This window comes from Homo sapiens, chromosome 18, assembly GCF_000001405.40.
Source record: "Homo sapiens chromosome 18, GRCh38.p14 Primary Assembly".
NCBI lineage: Eukaryota > Metazoa > Chordata > Mammalia > Primates > Hominidae > Homo > Homo sapiens.
The window spans coordinates 44,033,997-44,052,288 of record NC_000018.10 but is presented as its reverse complement, the minus strand read 5'-3'; the positions used below and the strand labels follow the sequence as shown (position 1 = coordinate 44,052,288).

General features: G+C 37.3%; 1 pseudogene; it reads right to left on the bottom strand.

Moving 5' to 3' along the window:
- On the bottom strand, positions 11,950-12,812 carry IBTKP1 (inhibitor of Bruton tyrosine kinase pseudogene 1; annotated as a pseudogene).

Genomic DNA, 18,292 nt, shown 5'->3' with positions numbered 1-18,292 from the left:
ATATATGCCCTACTTTCTGCCTTTTAATATGTGTAAAGCTAGTGATAGAACACTAAAAGTTATATTGTTGCTATTACAGAGAAACCCAATACCTCCATGGATATGCTTGACATCAGAAAAATCATAACAAGCATTCCTGTGAACTTCACCATACTTCTGCCTTCCAAAACTAAGCAAGTGCATCTGATTAGTTGAATTCAAATCATATATAGAACCTAAGTCACAAAGGAGCCTGGGAAATTAGTTTATAGACTTAATAATTTCTGAATTTTCAATGGCACAGCTAGGATGATGATAGAATAAATGTTCTGTACCAATTCATTATAGTCACCCTTTCCCTTTATTAAATGAATAATCATGATAAAGTAATAATTAAAAGAATTCCCACTTGCAAGCCCTTTCTAGGTTTGTCTTCTCCTTCAGAAAAGGGATCAGACTATTCATTAGGTTGAAATGAGCAGCCCACCCACTCAAACAGCCCACCCTCTCAAACTGAAGAGATAAGCAACAATAAAAATACATTTATACACACTACTGATACTGGTCAGATGTAGACATAACTCAAAAAACTACACTCGTACTTCTCAATCCAGGCCATTTTTGACTGAAATATTAACTTAATTAAACAAAAGAAGGCATAATTCTTCTGAATTGTAGTTACCACGGTCGCACCCTGTATATCAGTATATATATCTTACTACTGTTTCTGTAATTCAGTGAGGCCAATATCAGTATTAAATTCTAAATTTTTTATCAATTCATAGAAGTAATAAATCATTAAGAGTTGTAGGTAAGTTAAAAGTATAAGCTAAAATATGTCTAAGAATATTCTAGAGAGAAAATACAAGCACATATAATGTTTATTCTCATGTTCAATTTCACTTCAGGGAACCTCTGTGCAAATCCCTTTGAAGTGCTGAGTTAAAGGAAGAAACAGTGCTTGTTAGAAGCCTGAAGTTGGCTAAATTTAGATATGTAAATGTCTCCACAGGGCTTGCTTACACTCCATAGGCAGTCTGTACAATCTCTGTTTTTTTTTCCCCCTCCTTCTTACTCCATCCCTAATTAAAAGAGCTGTTCAGTTACAGGGTCAAATTTCTCATGCTGACCTAGCTTTGCTGCAGCTTTGAGAGGAGTAGAAACCTGTACACCACAGAGCAGTGGCAATTAGTTCTCCCGTAATTAAGGAGTGAAGGGTACTAGCAAATGGAGGTGTGCCCCTTCCAGCCTGCTGAGTGGGAAAACACAAGTTGGATTAAGGAGAATTTTCTAAGTACTGTTTCCCCTAGAAATGGGTTCATCATTTCTCGTAGAAACGGCTTACAGTCCTGGGAGGAATCTCAAACAAAATTACTGTAATTCTGAGTTAGATTGGAAAGTGAAGACACTCACACAAACTCACTCAAGAAGAGAGGCCCTTGGAATTCATTGGTGCCACTTATAATGAGATAAAAAGATCCCTTAGCCACCCACTGCAGAACTCTAACATGTTGTCATGTTTATTTTAGAATCAAAGCTTGTTGGATATAATCTGAATATAGAAATATAAATAAAATTACTGTTTTTAGTATTATTTTGAATTTTCAGGTGTTTAAATACAAATAATTTTTTTCTGTAGGCAGGAGAGAACCAGTAAGTTCACTTAAACAATGGGAACTTTACTGCCATAATAAATATTAAAAGAGTCAAAAATACAATCATAAAACTATCAAGAACCCAAGTAGTTTTAAAGGCTACTTAATAATTTAATGTCTTTCTCACTGCATCTTTATTTTTTTTGTGTGTTCAAATCCCTTCTCTCTTCTGCCCAGTTACTTCCCTATTTTCATTCTGTGACAACTTTGGTCTTCATAGGGCTCTCAGCTTGCCCCAATTCCAATTCTAACTCATAGCACTGATTCACTGCCTTCAACCCTCAACCAATTGTTTCCTTCACTCCCATATTCCTAAGAGAGAAAATGTCAGAATTAGGTAATTTGAAGGTCAGCACATGCTAATTTTGTCTAACTGGTCTGATCCATTTTTATATTAGCACTATTTCATGTATTTATTTTAGAGCTCTAATCTGCACTTATCTTGTTGGTAGACTATACATTTCTCAGCTCACAAAAAAGGTTACATACATTGTTTTCCTAATATAAGTTTTATTCCACTGGGAGGTACACCTAGCTGCTACCTACATTAATCTATTTTGGTTGTGGGGAAACATTTGGGTCTGGACAACTAGACATGGCTTCAGGCCAATTGCTTGAATGTCTGTACTGGTCAGCTGTACAAGAGTGGCTTATATTGATAAGCATTTATTTCTTGCACATATGTGAGGTGCTGACTGAGGTTCAGTGAATTCGGTAATGCTGGTTTAGCTTCAGACTACACAAAAGCTCCATGATCCATGAACTAGCAGTTACCTAAGGAATGCTTTTCTCATAGCACAAGGAAGGAGTGGAAGAGACCATCATCAACCTGGAATTACATTGTCAAACATCTGTTCGAGTCACTTGCTGAAGTCAAGCTCAAGTTCAACATACTCTAACCTCCATGGGACCATAGGATTGTAGATATTTAATAGTACTATAGAAGAGGAAAAAAAAAAAAACACTGGGATCAATAATCCAATTAAAAATAAAAGCTCCACAACCATGCCTACTTTATTTCTCCCTAAGATGCATAGACCCTGAAATTCAAGATTTGCTGCTGTACAGAACCACATCAAGGAAGATTTAACCTGTAGTTTGCATCAGCCCCCATAAGTTAAAGGGCCCAGTCAGACAAAACTGTCTAAACTTCAGATGTCAATTCCAAGTCCCAGGCCACCTGTACTTCCCACTGACTGGCTATAAATCAGGGGTTCCCATTACCTTCTCAGATTTTTTCAAAAAACACCTCATGGATCTCAGGAAGTCACTTTACTTATGTTTACCAGTTTATCATAAAGAACATAAATGAACAATCCGATAAAGTGGTACATAGGGTGAGGTCCAAATGTATCCCAAGTTCAGGAATGCCTATCTTTGTGGAAGTGAGGTGCAACACACACTAGCATGTGGATGTGTTCACCAATGTGGAAACTCTAAGCCCAGTAGTTTAGGGTGTTTTATGACGTAAGTACAATTGATTAAATCATTGGCCACTGGTGATTAACTCAATTTCCAATCTCTTTCCTCTCCTCAGAGCTTGGGAGGATGTGGCTAAAAGTCCCAACATTCTCATCATGGTTTGTCTGGAGAGCAGTTCCCATTGTGAAGCCACCTAGAAAGTTCTCAGCCAATAGTCATCTCATTAGTATAACAAAGACACTCATTACTCAGGAGATTCCAAATATTTCAGGAGCTCTGTGCCAGGAATGGGGACAAAGTTTTTTTCGTTTTGTTTTGTTTTTTTAATACCATAGTAGGCATTTTGGCTATATGGCTGAATAAATATCTTTGAAATATAGAATAAATATGAGTTGAAAAGTAATTATTTAAAATGTAATCAAACCCACATCTTAAAGCGGAAATACAAACAATATTCATAGAACCCTTGTCCTAAGATTATATTAACTGAGTTTGGGCAACAATTATGTAAATTTGAGAGTTCCCTTTTAGTTTTCAGAAGGAAATAGCCATACGCATAAAAGGATTCAGTCTAAGCAAAACCATATGCCTATCTGTATATGCACACACACAGACACATTAATAGCAACATGAGTAGACAGTCAAATGCATAAGCAAGAAATCTGCTTCTTGGGACATCACCATTCGTCTGAAACAAGGACTGAATGAACCTTTGTCATATCATCATAAAGATCACAATTTTCTTCTTTTAGCTTTAAAATAATAAATAGGTTTTGACCAACATTATTGCAGAATATCTTTCTTACTTTTTACACAATGTTCTCTGTATTCTCTGGAAATCTTAAAAAGAAGTAAATATGCAAGCAAGTAAACAAACAAATACATTCATGAACACTTTTAAATCTAAGAAAAAACTTTCATGCCTCACAAATTTCACCAGCAAGCCAGTAAACCACATGAGATCAGGGACTTGGTTGTTTGGTTACTTAGTTTTATTGCTATATCCCCGGTGCTTTGATCAGTTTCTAGCATGTAGTTCAGCACCCAACAAATATCTAGCAAAGAAATAAATTCCCCATGAATCAATTCTTTATGATTTTTTTTTTCACAAAAATCTATGGCCAAGGAAAAAACCCAATATGGTTGAGGGCATCTCCACCAGCCTTTACCACTAGAAAATATGTTTTTCAAACTGAAGTATGGAAAGAACTGTCACTGAACCAGAACACTGACCATTCTCTGACAACTTAGCGCAGTCAGTTTAAGATGTTCCTTCCAACTGTGGGAAAGAACATAATCCTTGTGAGAAATTACAAGTTAAGAGGAAACAAAGACATCCATAAAGAAGTCAAACTATAAAACCTGAATCATATAAGCATACTTCCATAGAAAGTGTCAATTCCAGCACCTAGGACAGTACCCAACAGACAATAAATGTTCAATTAAATATTTACTGTTTTTTTTTTTCCAAGCCAGCATCTCACTTTGTCACCCAGGCTGGAGTGCAGTGGCACAATCCCAGCTCACTGCAACCTCTACCTCCTGAGTTCAAGCAATTTTCCTGCCTCAACATCCCGAATAGCTGGAATTACAGGCATGCGCCAGCACACCCAGCTACTTTTTGTATTTTTAGTAGAGATGGGGTTTCACCATGTTGGCCAGGCTGATCTTGAACTCTTGACCTTAAGTGATCTGCTCACCTCAGCCTCCCAAGTGCTAGGATTACAGGCGTGAGCCACTGCACCTGGCCAATATTTACTGAATATTTAGATGAATAATTTCCTTATTACCAGTCTATGTGCTCTCAGGAATCCTTAAAAAAATAATAATTATTGCAACCAAATAATGAGAAAAAAAATTAGTATTCCAGTTCCTCTCCATCATTAACACCTACCTACCACCAACTGGTATTTTTCTTATTTGTGTGCTGGTTTGTCCATTTGATATTTATCTTTCTGTTAGACTGAAAGCTCCATGAGTACACGCACTTTGTTATGTTCCTGTTGTATCCTCAGCATCTTGAATAGTGTTTGCTTATTTACAATGCTGAGTGAACATTTGTTTGAAGAAATCGTAATTATAAAGATCATCAAAATAGTGAGTTCTAGGATTACCTCTCCTAGAAGCCAGCCGTATTTTTCTATCATAATATTCCCCTGTGAATGAAAATAGGTCATTGAGCATTTTCAACTTGCTTCAGTATGAAAATAATTAAGAAAATCATGTCTTTAAACACTGTCCTTTTCCTGAAAGTCTCATTTAAAATGAAAATATCCATTAAAAGAATAACAGAATAAGTCATTACCGCTTTAATGCAAGGCGGTACATGGAAGATTCTCGTTTTCTCTTAGGGCATGGAGCTCAGGCAGTGGTGAATTCCCAGTGTTTCCCCTTCAGCATGTGTCTCCGAATTCCACATCTACTACGAAAGTTGTAGAAAATGGAAATTTTATTTTTCCATGAATCACATTTGAAAAATGGCATTGAATATTCCATGCCAGCGGTCGAGACTCATTAGGATACGGAGACAGCTGTTTCAAGCAAGCTGCAGAAAGCAATTAAGTGAGAGACAGTAGGAGAAAAAATTCTTTTTAATCTTTAAGTTTGTAGTATCCAGTGTTCTAATATGCTAAGTAGTCTTGTCAACTAATCAACTTTAAAAATCTCAGTAGCATGGCCACTTAAAAGAGAGCTTTTCATTAAACTCTGTTCCAAGAAATTCTAAGGCATAATATCACATCTGTCTTCTTTCTCACATCACATCTGTCTTGTCTCTGAGATAACATTTAAATCTTGGAATTGACCAACCAGTCACACAAGCTCTTTTCTTATCAGCAACTGAGATTGGTGAAACCATTGTTGGGTTTGATGAGTTCCCTATTCCGAATATTTCTCTGAGGTCTTTCCCAAGACTAGATCCAGCATACATTTCTAGCATAGGAATCGCATAGGAATCAGCTCCCTATCTATGGCATTTGCATTAAAGATGACATACAGAGGCCAGGCACAGTGCTCACGCGTGTAATCCCAGCACTTTGGGAGGCCAAGGCGGGTGGATCACCTGAGCTCAGGAGTTCAAGACCAGCCTGTGCAACATGGCAAACCTTGTCTCTCCTAAAAATACAAAAAAAAAAAAAAAAAAAGAAAAAAATTAGCCCAGTGTGGTGGTGCAGGCTTATGTTTCCAGCTACTCAGGAGGCTGGGGTGAGAGAATTGCTTGAGCCTGGGAGGTGGAGGTTGCAGTGAGCTGAGATCACACCACTGCCCTCCAGCATGGGCCACAGAGTGAGATTCCATCTCAAAAAACAAAACAAAACAAAAGACACATAGATTTTGAAGACATGAGCAGGATTGTAAAACTGACCAAGTTTGTCTTCATCATCATTCTAGCATCCCTTTAAATCATGCCATTCCTTCTTTCTGGAGCCTTCCTGAATGTGCACAAGATAAAGATACATGTGGATGGAGGCTGAACACCAGTGGGGAGTTATATTAACAACCTTCTTTTTGGTGAAACAGTTTTGACCTTCTAGGATGAACAACCTGAGACTAAAGGGTTACCAGGACCTGGGACACTCAGTGAGTGCTAAAAACAGGAAAACTCTGGGCAAACCAGGATGGTTTGTCATCTTAACACTAGAAGAAACTGCCTAGAATACTGCTCTGCAATTCCCTTATTTCCTGCCAAGCCCCCCTCCTGTTGCAGCTATACACATTTCACCTAGAAGACCATTACTAACGCTCCAGGCCTCATCTGCATGCTTGCTTACTCTAAGAAGCCTTCCTGGACACCTCCAAGATGGAATTATGTGCTTTTTCTAGAAACTGGCGTTATCATCTTGTTTTGAACCTCTTGAATAGTATTTATCATACTATCTTAGTTTCCCTTTTACTTGTTTACACCCCTTGGCTTCTTGAATGCAGCAAATATGTCGTGCTTACTACTGTAATCCCTCCACCAATTAAAAATGTTTGCAAGATGACAGCAATGAATAAATATTAGTTATGTTGAAAAACTCTTTCAAACAATATAGGCAAGAATGGTGAACAATCACAGTGGTCTAACAGTGATGCAGGCTTGAAGGAAAAATGGTGAACATTATATTTTTAGAAATGTTCAAGAATCTCTCAGGCTACACTGCATGTGAATCCTTCTCTAGGTAAATTTTCAAGTTAATTGAACACAAAGGTCACTTCATACTGAACTCATTTTTAGACAGATGTCAAGCAACAGTATCAGAATTATCTAAATCCCTAAACTCTGATTCTATTGATATGGAGTCAGATCTAAATATTTCTATAAGAGATGCTGGAAAAGAGCTAGTTCGTTCAAGTCTGCTAATGCTTATTACATAGCTAAGGTGGAACTAAATGCTCTGGGGATATTAAAAACGAAAAGGCATACAATCCTCTGGAAACTCATAGTCCAAATAAATGAAGCTGAGACCTTCTCACCAGGTAGAATATATTTAAGCTTTAGGTTTCCTGGGTCTGAATAAGACCAGCACTGGTCCCATACCAAAACCTTTCAACTCTGGTTTGTTTCTCATCTTCGTGGATCTAGAGTAGGGTTTTCAATGCCAGCTGTACATTGGAATCACGTGAGAAGCTTTAACAATATATAAATGCTTCACCTTTTCCTACACCATGCTAATGTAATTGGATTGAGGGTAGCCTTTCCCCTTTCTAAGTTTCAGCCTGAGAGCCCCCATAAACAAAGTGAGGGTTAAACTGAGATCTGAGGTATTAATAGGTCAGGCGAAGTGTGGGGATGCATGTATGCATTTGTGTGTGTATGTGCGTGATGGGAAGAATGTGGTTAGGTAGTATGGTAATGAGAATAAAAATCTAGGCAAAACTTTTCACTTAGGGAAGTTCTAATGTGCTTCTGCAATGGGGAAATGCCTACCATTGAAATTAGGTGCAGATAATGTGTGTAAAAGTGCTTTGTAAAATGGAAGGCATGGCTTAAGAAAATATTGTAGGTAATTTAACTAAATTTTAAATCCTTAATGGTATTACTTTCAACCTGAAGAAATTAAATTATTAAGAGATCAGCTCTTCCCATATAGGTCATGCTTTATGGTAATCTCAGGTTATTTTACATTATTTTTCTTCTTGGAAACAGGGATCTATACCCAGATCCTAAATTACTTTTAATCCCATTTGACTGCAGAAAATTTTAAGTGTGTGGTTCTATTATCTTGCCTCATTAATTCTTACCTGGAGAATATCACGGAATCTTTCTTGAATAAATAAGTTTGTGATCCCTCAGGGAAATCAATTAACAGTGTGTAGGAAATTCAAGTTAGTGTGTCCTGACCCCAGGACATACCAGGGAAGTGGCTTTTTGAGAGAAATTGCTAATATCAGCTCGCTTTACTCTAATGGTCCACTTTCTCTTTAAAGGAGAATGCTGAGGAGTGGGGAAGTTGGGTACTTCATTGAGTTTGGTTTGTGCCATTCCTTGTAGTTTCTTTGCACCTGGTAAGTGAAGATGAATTGCAACACTCTTCTTGTAGTGGCTCTTTGTATTGAAGAACCTATCCCATGGGGTCAACAAGTAAGATGTTGAAAGCATCTCTGCCACAGTTGCCTTTACTTGATGAAAAACCCCCAAGTGTATCAACAAGTACCTAAATCAGCTCAGAAGAGGATCTTCTGAGGCTGCCACTAGTCAAGCAACTGAACTTGACAGTGTATCTTTCCCAGGCCAGCCTTGAGATGGGTGCAGCCCTGGTCAATAACTTGATTATAGCCTGCGAGTGACTGAGACAGAGGCTTTCAACTGTGCCTTGACTGCATTTCTGACACACAAAAAAATTGTGAGATAATAAACATCTCTCATTAGAAACCAGAAAATCTTGAGGTAATACTATTGCTCTACTGCAACAGATGATTAAAATATCAGTTCCCCCAATTCCAGTGGGATGCCAGTTGTCACCCTTCTCCTTACAACTCTGATCTAGTACCACCAGAATGGGGACTTTAAGACCTTTTTGCTCTATGCATCAGCCTACCCAATCCCATGCTCAGCCCAATGTTCTTGTCATCCTAAGCCTGAGCCACAATGCTCCTGAGTGCCCCCAGCAAGGATGTTCACTTATTTATAACTAATATAAATGATTCCATTTGACTCTCAAGAATGTTGTGAAATATTTATTATTATACCCATCTTACAGACAAGGATATTGAGGCCCAGAAAGAATACCCAATTTGTACAAGTAGGAAGACAAAAGAACATAATTTTTAACTCCAGGTTCAACACACAGTGTATTATCCTGAAGCTGCCTCGCATTGTTTTCTTATTCTTTTATAGTTGGAGGAGTTATTATTATATATTATTTGACAAAAAGATTTAAAAAATATCAGACCACCTGTGCTAAGTGTCAAGTGAGTCAATGTACTTGTTTTTAAAAATTATTGTACTAATGTAAGATATTGCTATTAATATACATTCTCTATATAGGCATATTTGTATTTGTACTTTTTCTTGTTTGAATTTTGTGGAAATTCACACTATTAAGTTTCAATTAAATATTCTGATTCTTGAGACTCACACATATATTTGGATCATTAAATTTGACCTTATATATATATATGTGATTGGATATAACATGTTTTTCCTCTCTGGCTTCTGTTGTGAAAATTTTCCATTTTTATTTCACTTTTGTTTAGTACAGATTAAACAGAAAGGAAATATTAATGTCATGAGAAATATAGTTCATAAAGATTTCTTTTTCTCTACTTAATATGCTAAGGAGTAGGGGAAAGAGAGATTTTTTAACATAAACCATCCCAGATCTTTAAATTTGTATGTAAAACTGGCACTAGTTCATCATTGCTTTTGCTGAGGAAAAAAAAAAAATTAAAGTCACCCACGAGGGTTTTCCCCTCTTTTTCTTTAATAATAGATACTTTCAGAGACCTCCTGAGGTCCCATTTCCCTTGTCATGTTTAAAGGGTTTATTGTTTCCAGAAAAGCTTTTGCTGCTCCCTCTGGAGACTGAGCCGATCCAAGGTAATATTAATTCTGTGCCTCTCTCTTGTCGGAACTCAACTTCAAATGGAATATATGAGATGAAAGCTGAAAGAGAGGTTATGTGGGCTGTCATCCGCCATTGTGTCTGAGGCATCAACTGTGCTCAGAACAAATTAGGTGTCAGTCCAGTAAATCACAGTCAGGAAGGGAAATCAGTTTATAGAAGACTTACTTGGTCTTCTGGAAGGCTCTTCCATTCAGAGAACAGTTCACCTTTCTTTTCTTTTTGGTAATTAAGAAAAAAATCTGAGATTTAGCTGGTCATTTTTATCTCCTCAAGCCCCATCCCAACTCACTCCATTTCCCCCATAAAGATGAAGGGCTGTTGCTCTGAAGGACTAGTTCCATTTGCAGAACCATTCACATGGAATGTCTCTTTTTAAAGTCTAATTTCCTAAATGAGGAAAGATCTGGGAAGAAAAGGAACAGGAGGCGAGGTTGGGCGAGGGAGTGAGGGGGAAGGAGAGAGACATGTGACTTCGCTGCTGGCTTGTGTGTGTGGTGTGTGCAGATCAAGGAGAGAATCCTCAGGGAGAAGCAGGTCAATCTGGCTGTCTTGGGATTTGTTTCAGGTTTTGAAATCCTTCTGGATCCCATTAGTCCTTCATTAAGAAGTTTGGATAGCAGAAGCAAAGAAATTGCTTTTCACTTTGGAATATAGAATTTTAAGCCTGTCATAACTTTAATGTGAGAGAAAAGAAGGCAAGAGAAAAGAAAATGAAATATTTGTATTTGTCATATCAGGCTCCCAACCATTCTGCTTTAATGTAAAACAAACGCATTGGAATTTATGAGGAAGTAGGAGACCAAAAAAAAAGTACTAGACTCAAACTCATTTGACCAACACTCTAGTTTTGATGACTAATAATTTTAGGACACTGATAAGAGTTTTTGAAATGGATCAAAATTATTTTTTATAGCACATTTGCTTACATGTCTGCTAAACATGGGTAGAGCTAAACCTGAAATATTGAGTTTTTTAAGTCATTTTTCCAGCTAAATTATAGCAGCGAATTGCTGTGTGTTCCCCGAGGCTTATCTTTCAGAAACTAGAACATTAACCTTCCCGATTTATCTAGGTACTAGAACACAAATTTAACATTTTTAAAAAGATTTAAACACTCAAACCAAATAGTATACTATAAATAAATTAATTTCTCTTTCTAGATATACAACATAGGCTCAGAGAACTTCTGAATATACAATATTGTGAAGGTAATGAGAACTCTTTTCCAAACTATTTCTTATGTTTATACTTAAACATTTATTTTAGAAAATTTTAACACTTTCAGAAACTAATTTTGTCACAATTAGGCTATTGTAAGATCCTCCAACCCAATGAAAACAAAATCAAAGCCCACAATGACTCTAAATCTTACAAACTATTATCTTGAACTAAACGGTCTAGAATAATTAGTGTTCTTATTCCCTTTCCACTATACTCCATTGCTTAATGCAAAATGGAGAATGTGCCATCTAAAATGAAAGACGGCATTTGAACAGATCAGTCTTTAAACCTAGAACACACTCATAGCCTATGAAAAAAGCAACAAGAACGTTGATACAACCATTGAGGCAAACACGAAATTCTGGCCATTAATAGGTTAGATTAATGACTGATGCCCGTACTTTAAACACTTCAGTGTTGTGTTATAAAGCATAGTGACAACAAATATTTGGAAAGGTCTTTTAAAGTCTAAAACAAAAAGTTATTTTTTATACGTAGTTCTTTCTGTCTTACAATTCAGTTACTCATACATTTGTTAGATTATTCAGTGTTTGTTATTCAGAAGAAACAATCCAATTTAATCTTAACCTAATAAGTTTTTCCTCTTATACATTTTTACATGAAAAAATACTAAAATCACAATTCTGAGGAATTTCTTTTTAATCAAACACTATATGCTTAAACCACAGTAAGGAAATTAGAACCTTTCTTATTCTATTTAATATGATACTACTAAATTTATAAGAACTCTTTTCCTCAACTTTTCTTTATACTAACAATCATAATTTGAAAAATGTATCTCAACCCCACAGTGAACTAATATCCATGCTTATTCCACATAGGTACTGCCAGTGGTCCCTGTGGTATCCTTTCAACAATGACAAACTCCTCAGGGTTGCCAAATGCCTGATAGAAAACCAGTAAATCATGTACTGCATCCTCCTCAGTTTGAATCAGAGCCAGGGTTTTTTCTCAACTTCAAATAAAGCTGCTTCCTTTTGTAGTTCTTCTACAATATATGTGAAAGTGACTGGGGCTACCATGGAAAGAGCAGTCATTTAAGAAGATAGCGAGGGATTGGGACTGTCCAGAGATGGTAAATCTGAAATGTGGCTACTTTCTGCTCCTGGGGTACTGTGGGTAGAGCATCTCACAACTTTTGGAGCCTAAGAATTTTTAATTTCTTTAAAACAAACTTTTTTGACATGATTTCCTGAACTATGGCCAGTAACAGGCTTTTTTGCCCATATATTTATGTGAATTTCCATACATATACTGGTTTGGGGGCTTTTGAAGGGGTGGTTAAAACGGTTTCCATGCAATTAATTTCTGAATTGTTTTCTTTGGTAGTTGATACAATCATTTTTCACTGCTTCTGAGAAAGTTTAACTCTACAAGATATCATTTTGCCTAAATTTGACTTTGGTATAGCTCCACATTTTGTCTGCTTTCTTCTGTTTTTATGATGGTTCTGAGAGCCACAACACAACAGGAAGCCATGCAAAAGTGGGTAGTCCTAGAGATTTACAGTCTCCTGATTTCACAATGGGATTCCATACAGATAAGATTGCTGGGAAAGTTAAACCTTATGTTAATAGTACATCTCTTACGTATTCTAGGGAACATTTAAAACCACGGGAAAATCACCAATATTTAAAATATCTGCTACACAGCCCATTTCCAGTAACAGGATTGATACTACCAACTCTTGTAGTTGGTTTGCAGGCTCTTTCAGTCCTGAGATAATTACTTCAGTATGCTGGTTCATCCTCCTCTCACCTGCAAATGATGATGATTATTTCTATCCTTGCTTTTGTTAACATTGATACTATGTGCACGACATGAAAGAAAATCACAGTTAAATAAAACGTACAAATAAATGATATTACTAGAAAGGTCCTGCCACTGGTCATATCTGTGCCACCATTCTGCACAAGTCTGGAGGTTTTTCTTCTCGCTGATCATTCCTCTTGTCTAAATTTCCATTTTACCTGCACTTGTCTCCATTACTACTTCTCCCTAACTAACTTTGGGTGAATTTGACTAGAGATATAACCAGATTCCATAATTTCACTTTTGAATAATTTCCTGGTATCCTGACCAATCACAATTCTACAGCGGGTAATTATTGAATACTGGAATTGCTACTTGTCTCTTCACTTGATCTAGTACTCTTGAGATTTTACATCATCTCCTAATAACCTACTTTATTGGTCCATTCTTGTCTGTCTCTCTCTCTCTTTTGCCAGACATCATGATTCCTGACTTTGTTGTACTCCAGGATCCTAATTTTATGTTCAGCCTGACACCCTTTGTATATATTCTCTTTCTTCTGTTCTGTTTGTGTTCAGCACAGGACAACTCAGATATAACATCAAGTTCGTTAAATAGTCACGTTTGCTTGTTCCCATCAGCTCAGCTTCTGATTTCCCTTCCAGTTTCCTTTAGCTACTCCACATCTTAATAGACACTGAGCCATTCATTTGGTCTCTGGGGAGGTGGTACAAATACACTATGCCCTCTCTCCTAAGGCCTGGGTCAGGTTACGGCATCATATCAATGGGAACTGTGGTCATGGATTCTAGGGGATTTCTAACAGTTAATGGGCCCAATTTGAGAAACGAAGGATAACCCAGAGTACATAAGACGTTTTGTCTTCCAAAATTCATACCAAGGGATGATAGAGGTTTGCTAGTAACTGACGTGATATACTTCAATTTTTTTTCTGCCACTTGCTACTTCCCCCTCACTTATATTCTTCTTCCCTCAACTACAAAGTTATCAAACTATTGCTCTTCTCTTTACTATGAAACTTGTTTTCAAGATTAGTCACCACCTAAATCTCTGGTTCATTATCTCTCATCCACTGGTCCTCTTGGATTTTGCTTTTTCCTTTCTCTCCTAAAATTAAACTGTTCATTGTACTGGTAATCCTCAAATTGCCAAATCCAACAAGGCTCTTTATTTCTCATACTATTGGGATTGTGACATTTGCAATGTTGAGTACACACTCCATAAAATGCTCTTCTGTCCTGGTTTTTATGCCCAACACCCTTTTGTCTCCTTTATTTCAGACTGATCATTTTCTATCACACTGAGCATTCTCATCTGTCTCTCCCTGGAACTTCTCAACTCCTTTTAAACTACGCAAAATTTAAGTTCCAGTTTTGTTGCTTTGCTTGTCATCAAATTTTCACCCCTTCTCTTTCCTATACCCAGACCTGTATTTCCAGGTGCTGTCAATTTTCCATGGCCCTGTTCCACGGGTATATCTGACACAATACAAATGAGACTTAACTTTTCACCAAATCGCTTTCTTTTTCTCTATTTTTAGCTCTATGTTTCATTCAGCGGTCCCAACTAAAGTTTTTATAGTTCTTTACCACCACTCAATTTCTGCTGATCCTACCCCTCCCATAGATGCCTCATCCTTCACTCTTCTATCATCTACAACCTCACTGGCATTTTTATTTAAGTCTCTCATCATCTCTCAGTCTGACTCCAAACATCCCAAACAAGTTTATTTTACCACTTCCCTGGCCATCTCTTGAAATATGTGCCCCGGTATATTCTTTTTTCACCACTCTTAGATCATATGAACATATCATGCTTTTGTTCCCTTTCCTTTTCTCATGCACATGTCTCTGCCAAAATGCCGTTTTTTTTTCTCCTGGTCATGCATTTCGTTTGTATAGTCTTCTGATTCTTATTTCTTCCTGGATTATTCCTACCTCCAATTTACTTCAAATAAATCTGTCAACCTGCGAAGTAATCACAACTTGTTGCTGTGTGTTTTTGACACTTGCACCAGGTGCAAACTAAAGTGAAGCCCATCTTCTGTTTTGCCCCAGAGCTGCTACTAATCTGTGACAGAAAGGTCTCCCAGACTTTTCTAATGGGAGAAACTGACTTCTTAGTAGAAAGGATTTTAGTTTTTCTCTCACTTTTAATTCTAGGATATTGTTGGAACCCAGGTGTACTTGAAATGTACTAATTGAGTCCAAGAAGTGGGGAAAGGCAAACCTGAAGAAGCCAACAGAGCCGCATAGGCTCTGTGATGTAGGCTGGAGCCACTTGGATTTATTTATACCCATTTAAAAATCTTCTTGTATTATGATAGTTGGCTTTTAGGAGATCAAAGGAGCCAGTGCAGAAATGTTGTTTTCCTGACTGTGCAGCACACAAACATCATTTAAATGTCCCCTCAACATGTGCTCACATCTAAAGCCCATCAGAGCATCATGCAGCAATGGGAGCTGGCACCGTGCCCGCATTGTTAGTCTTGCTCCATTATGATGGAAATAACAGGCAAGACAGAGACAGAAAGCAGGATGGGGGGGGGGGGGGAGTCGCAGGGGTTTAGATATAGCTCCTTGGTGGGGATGGGGGATGGGGGAGTAGGGAGTGGATGCAGACATAGTCCTGATAATGTGATGTTTGAATTTTTATTTTTTCTGTTGAAAAAGCAGATGGATGTGAGAATGGCTTCATAATCTCCATGGTTGGGGGTGATTTTTCAAACTCCTGCTTTAGTGTCTTTGGAGATAGAGCCCAGTGGCCACGTGAGGTCTGAATGTTGAGATTAATCCCGCATGTTTAGAAGATGGAAGTGGCAAAACAGACTATAGATATATCAGGGCAGTTCAAATGCCAGAGTCCAAAAAGCATATGATGCCAGCAAGCAGTAAAATTTCTATTCAGTCTTCTTCTAGAACCCAGTTTGCTTTCAGCATATTGTGAGTGCACTTCATGGGATGGTTTTCATAGCATTCATTTATCAAGTACATATTAATATTCAAAGAACTTTTATATTTACTCATTCATTTGGAACGTATCTCTCTCCTGCGATGTTATAAAGTTTCAAAGCTGGAAATTCCTCAGAGATCATCTCTCCAATGCTCACATATACTAAAATCCAAAGGGATCTTAGTTTGCCTAAAATCTTATACACAGCTAGTAATATTGGGTCCCACGCCTGTTGGATTTTCACTCCAGAGCTTTTTACACGACCCAGTGCAACCACCTAGCCAAGAATTTATTTATGATTTTTCATAAGATGATAATTGTTTGAGAGCATGTGTTTATAGGGTATAAGGGGAGATTCGGAAATTGTGCCACCTGCAATTGGGAAGGAGCCCTGTGGAAACATGTGAGGCATTTACGTCTGTGGTGGGGTATGAGTGTCCAGTGCAAGTGGAATGCTATTAAAAGAAACATGCCTACAATGTTTCCTGTGAAATAAACATTTCACAATGTTTATTTTTAGTATTACACAATGGGGGTAGCTTTCTATCTTTGCCACTTTTTCTTCTCTGCCCTTAATTTTGGAAAAGAAAATCATGTACAGAAATATGAAAGTAAGAAAGAGGAACACTCCTGGTATTGATTCTTGCCCTCTCCATTGGCCTTTACTGCTATAATTCCCCACACAGACAAGACATATCTTCCCTAGGGTCATTCTGGAGGTGGCAAATAGATTATTGGTCTTAAGTACCTGTTCACGAAAATATTCTTTGACCATTCCTCAGACTTCCTATAGAATATTTTAAAAGAAGAAAAACTTAGATTTCTGAAGTTAGTGGTGGCAGTTGATGATACAATATCTCAGCAGATATCTTTCTTTAAAATTCTCTCATCCAAATAGTCTCCCAAACCTAGCAGAGAGTTACACTGGGCACCTGTTAGGTACTTAACACCTCTCATTGAACACAGCTTCCTCTTTTGAAATGCTTTTTATTTCCTACTTGTCTAAATGTGCTTATTCTTTAAAATCTAATCAATGTCACAACTTTTTTTTTTTTTTTTTTTTTTTTTTGAGATGGAGTCTCGCTCTGTCGCCCAGGCTGGAGTGCACTGGCATGATCTAGGCTCACTGCAAGCTCCGTCTACCGAGTTCACGCCATTCTCCTGCCTTAGCCTCCTGAGTAGCTGGGACTACAGGCACCCACCACTACGCCCGGCTAATTTTTTTTGTATTTTTAGTAGGGACGGGGTTTCCCCGTGTTAGCCAGGATGGTCTCGATCTCGATCTGACCTCGTAATCCACCCGCCTCGGCCGCCCAAAGGGCTGGGATTACAGGCGTGAGCCACCGCGCCTGGCCAATATCACATCTAAGAAACATTTACTGAATAAAAAACAATGGATTATCTGGATATCTATAGCCTCAAGGTCATGACTACAAGCCTAATATGTAAGAATAGAGTATGATTTCTCTATTTTTTCCTTTCTAGTTGTGTCATGGAATTTAGTTAGAGGCCCATTAGAATTCTTGGAAATTAAATTTTTTCAATCTTCAAAATATTGCACCAGAAGCTTAGGAAATTGCCAAGGAATAGTTTTGTGATTTTGCCTATCTGGAAGTTGTGGTGAATAATCAACCTGTTACCTCCAGGAAAATGACCCTAGAGTACGCTCTCTGTGGGGGCCTTACCTCAGTGAAGTCCAAAGGAAATTCTCAATATGTTCTCATTGTCTTATGTCTTGCAGTACATTTAGTATATAAATGGACCCAAAATAAAAGTATTCTGTAAATATTTGCTCATTGACTTTAATTTCTCAATTCCCAACATTGATATGATAGATTATAACTATAGCCAATAATATAATTCCCTCTGTTGTACATTATTAGAAGTCAAGAGACTAAAGTTCTTGTCCAAAGTCTGACATGTTATGGATATATAAAATTGCACAAAACTATTTACCTAAGAATAAGTTCATTTTAATTTATTCCAAAAATAATTAAGTTTTGCTCTACTCACCTTCAGAAGCTTTAGTGAAAAAAGTCTTAAATAAAATGGCCTTGATTTTCCTAGGCTTTATAATTTATTTCAAATACTATCATTGTAATATTACCATTAGTGCTTATTATATCTTTTGGATCATCATCTTTAGTTTAATATTTTATGCTATTCTACTCCATTTCTATCATTTTTTCTTACATCTCATTTAAGTTTCATACATGTTAA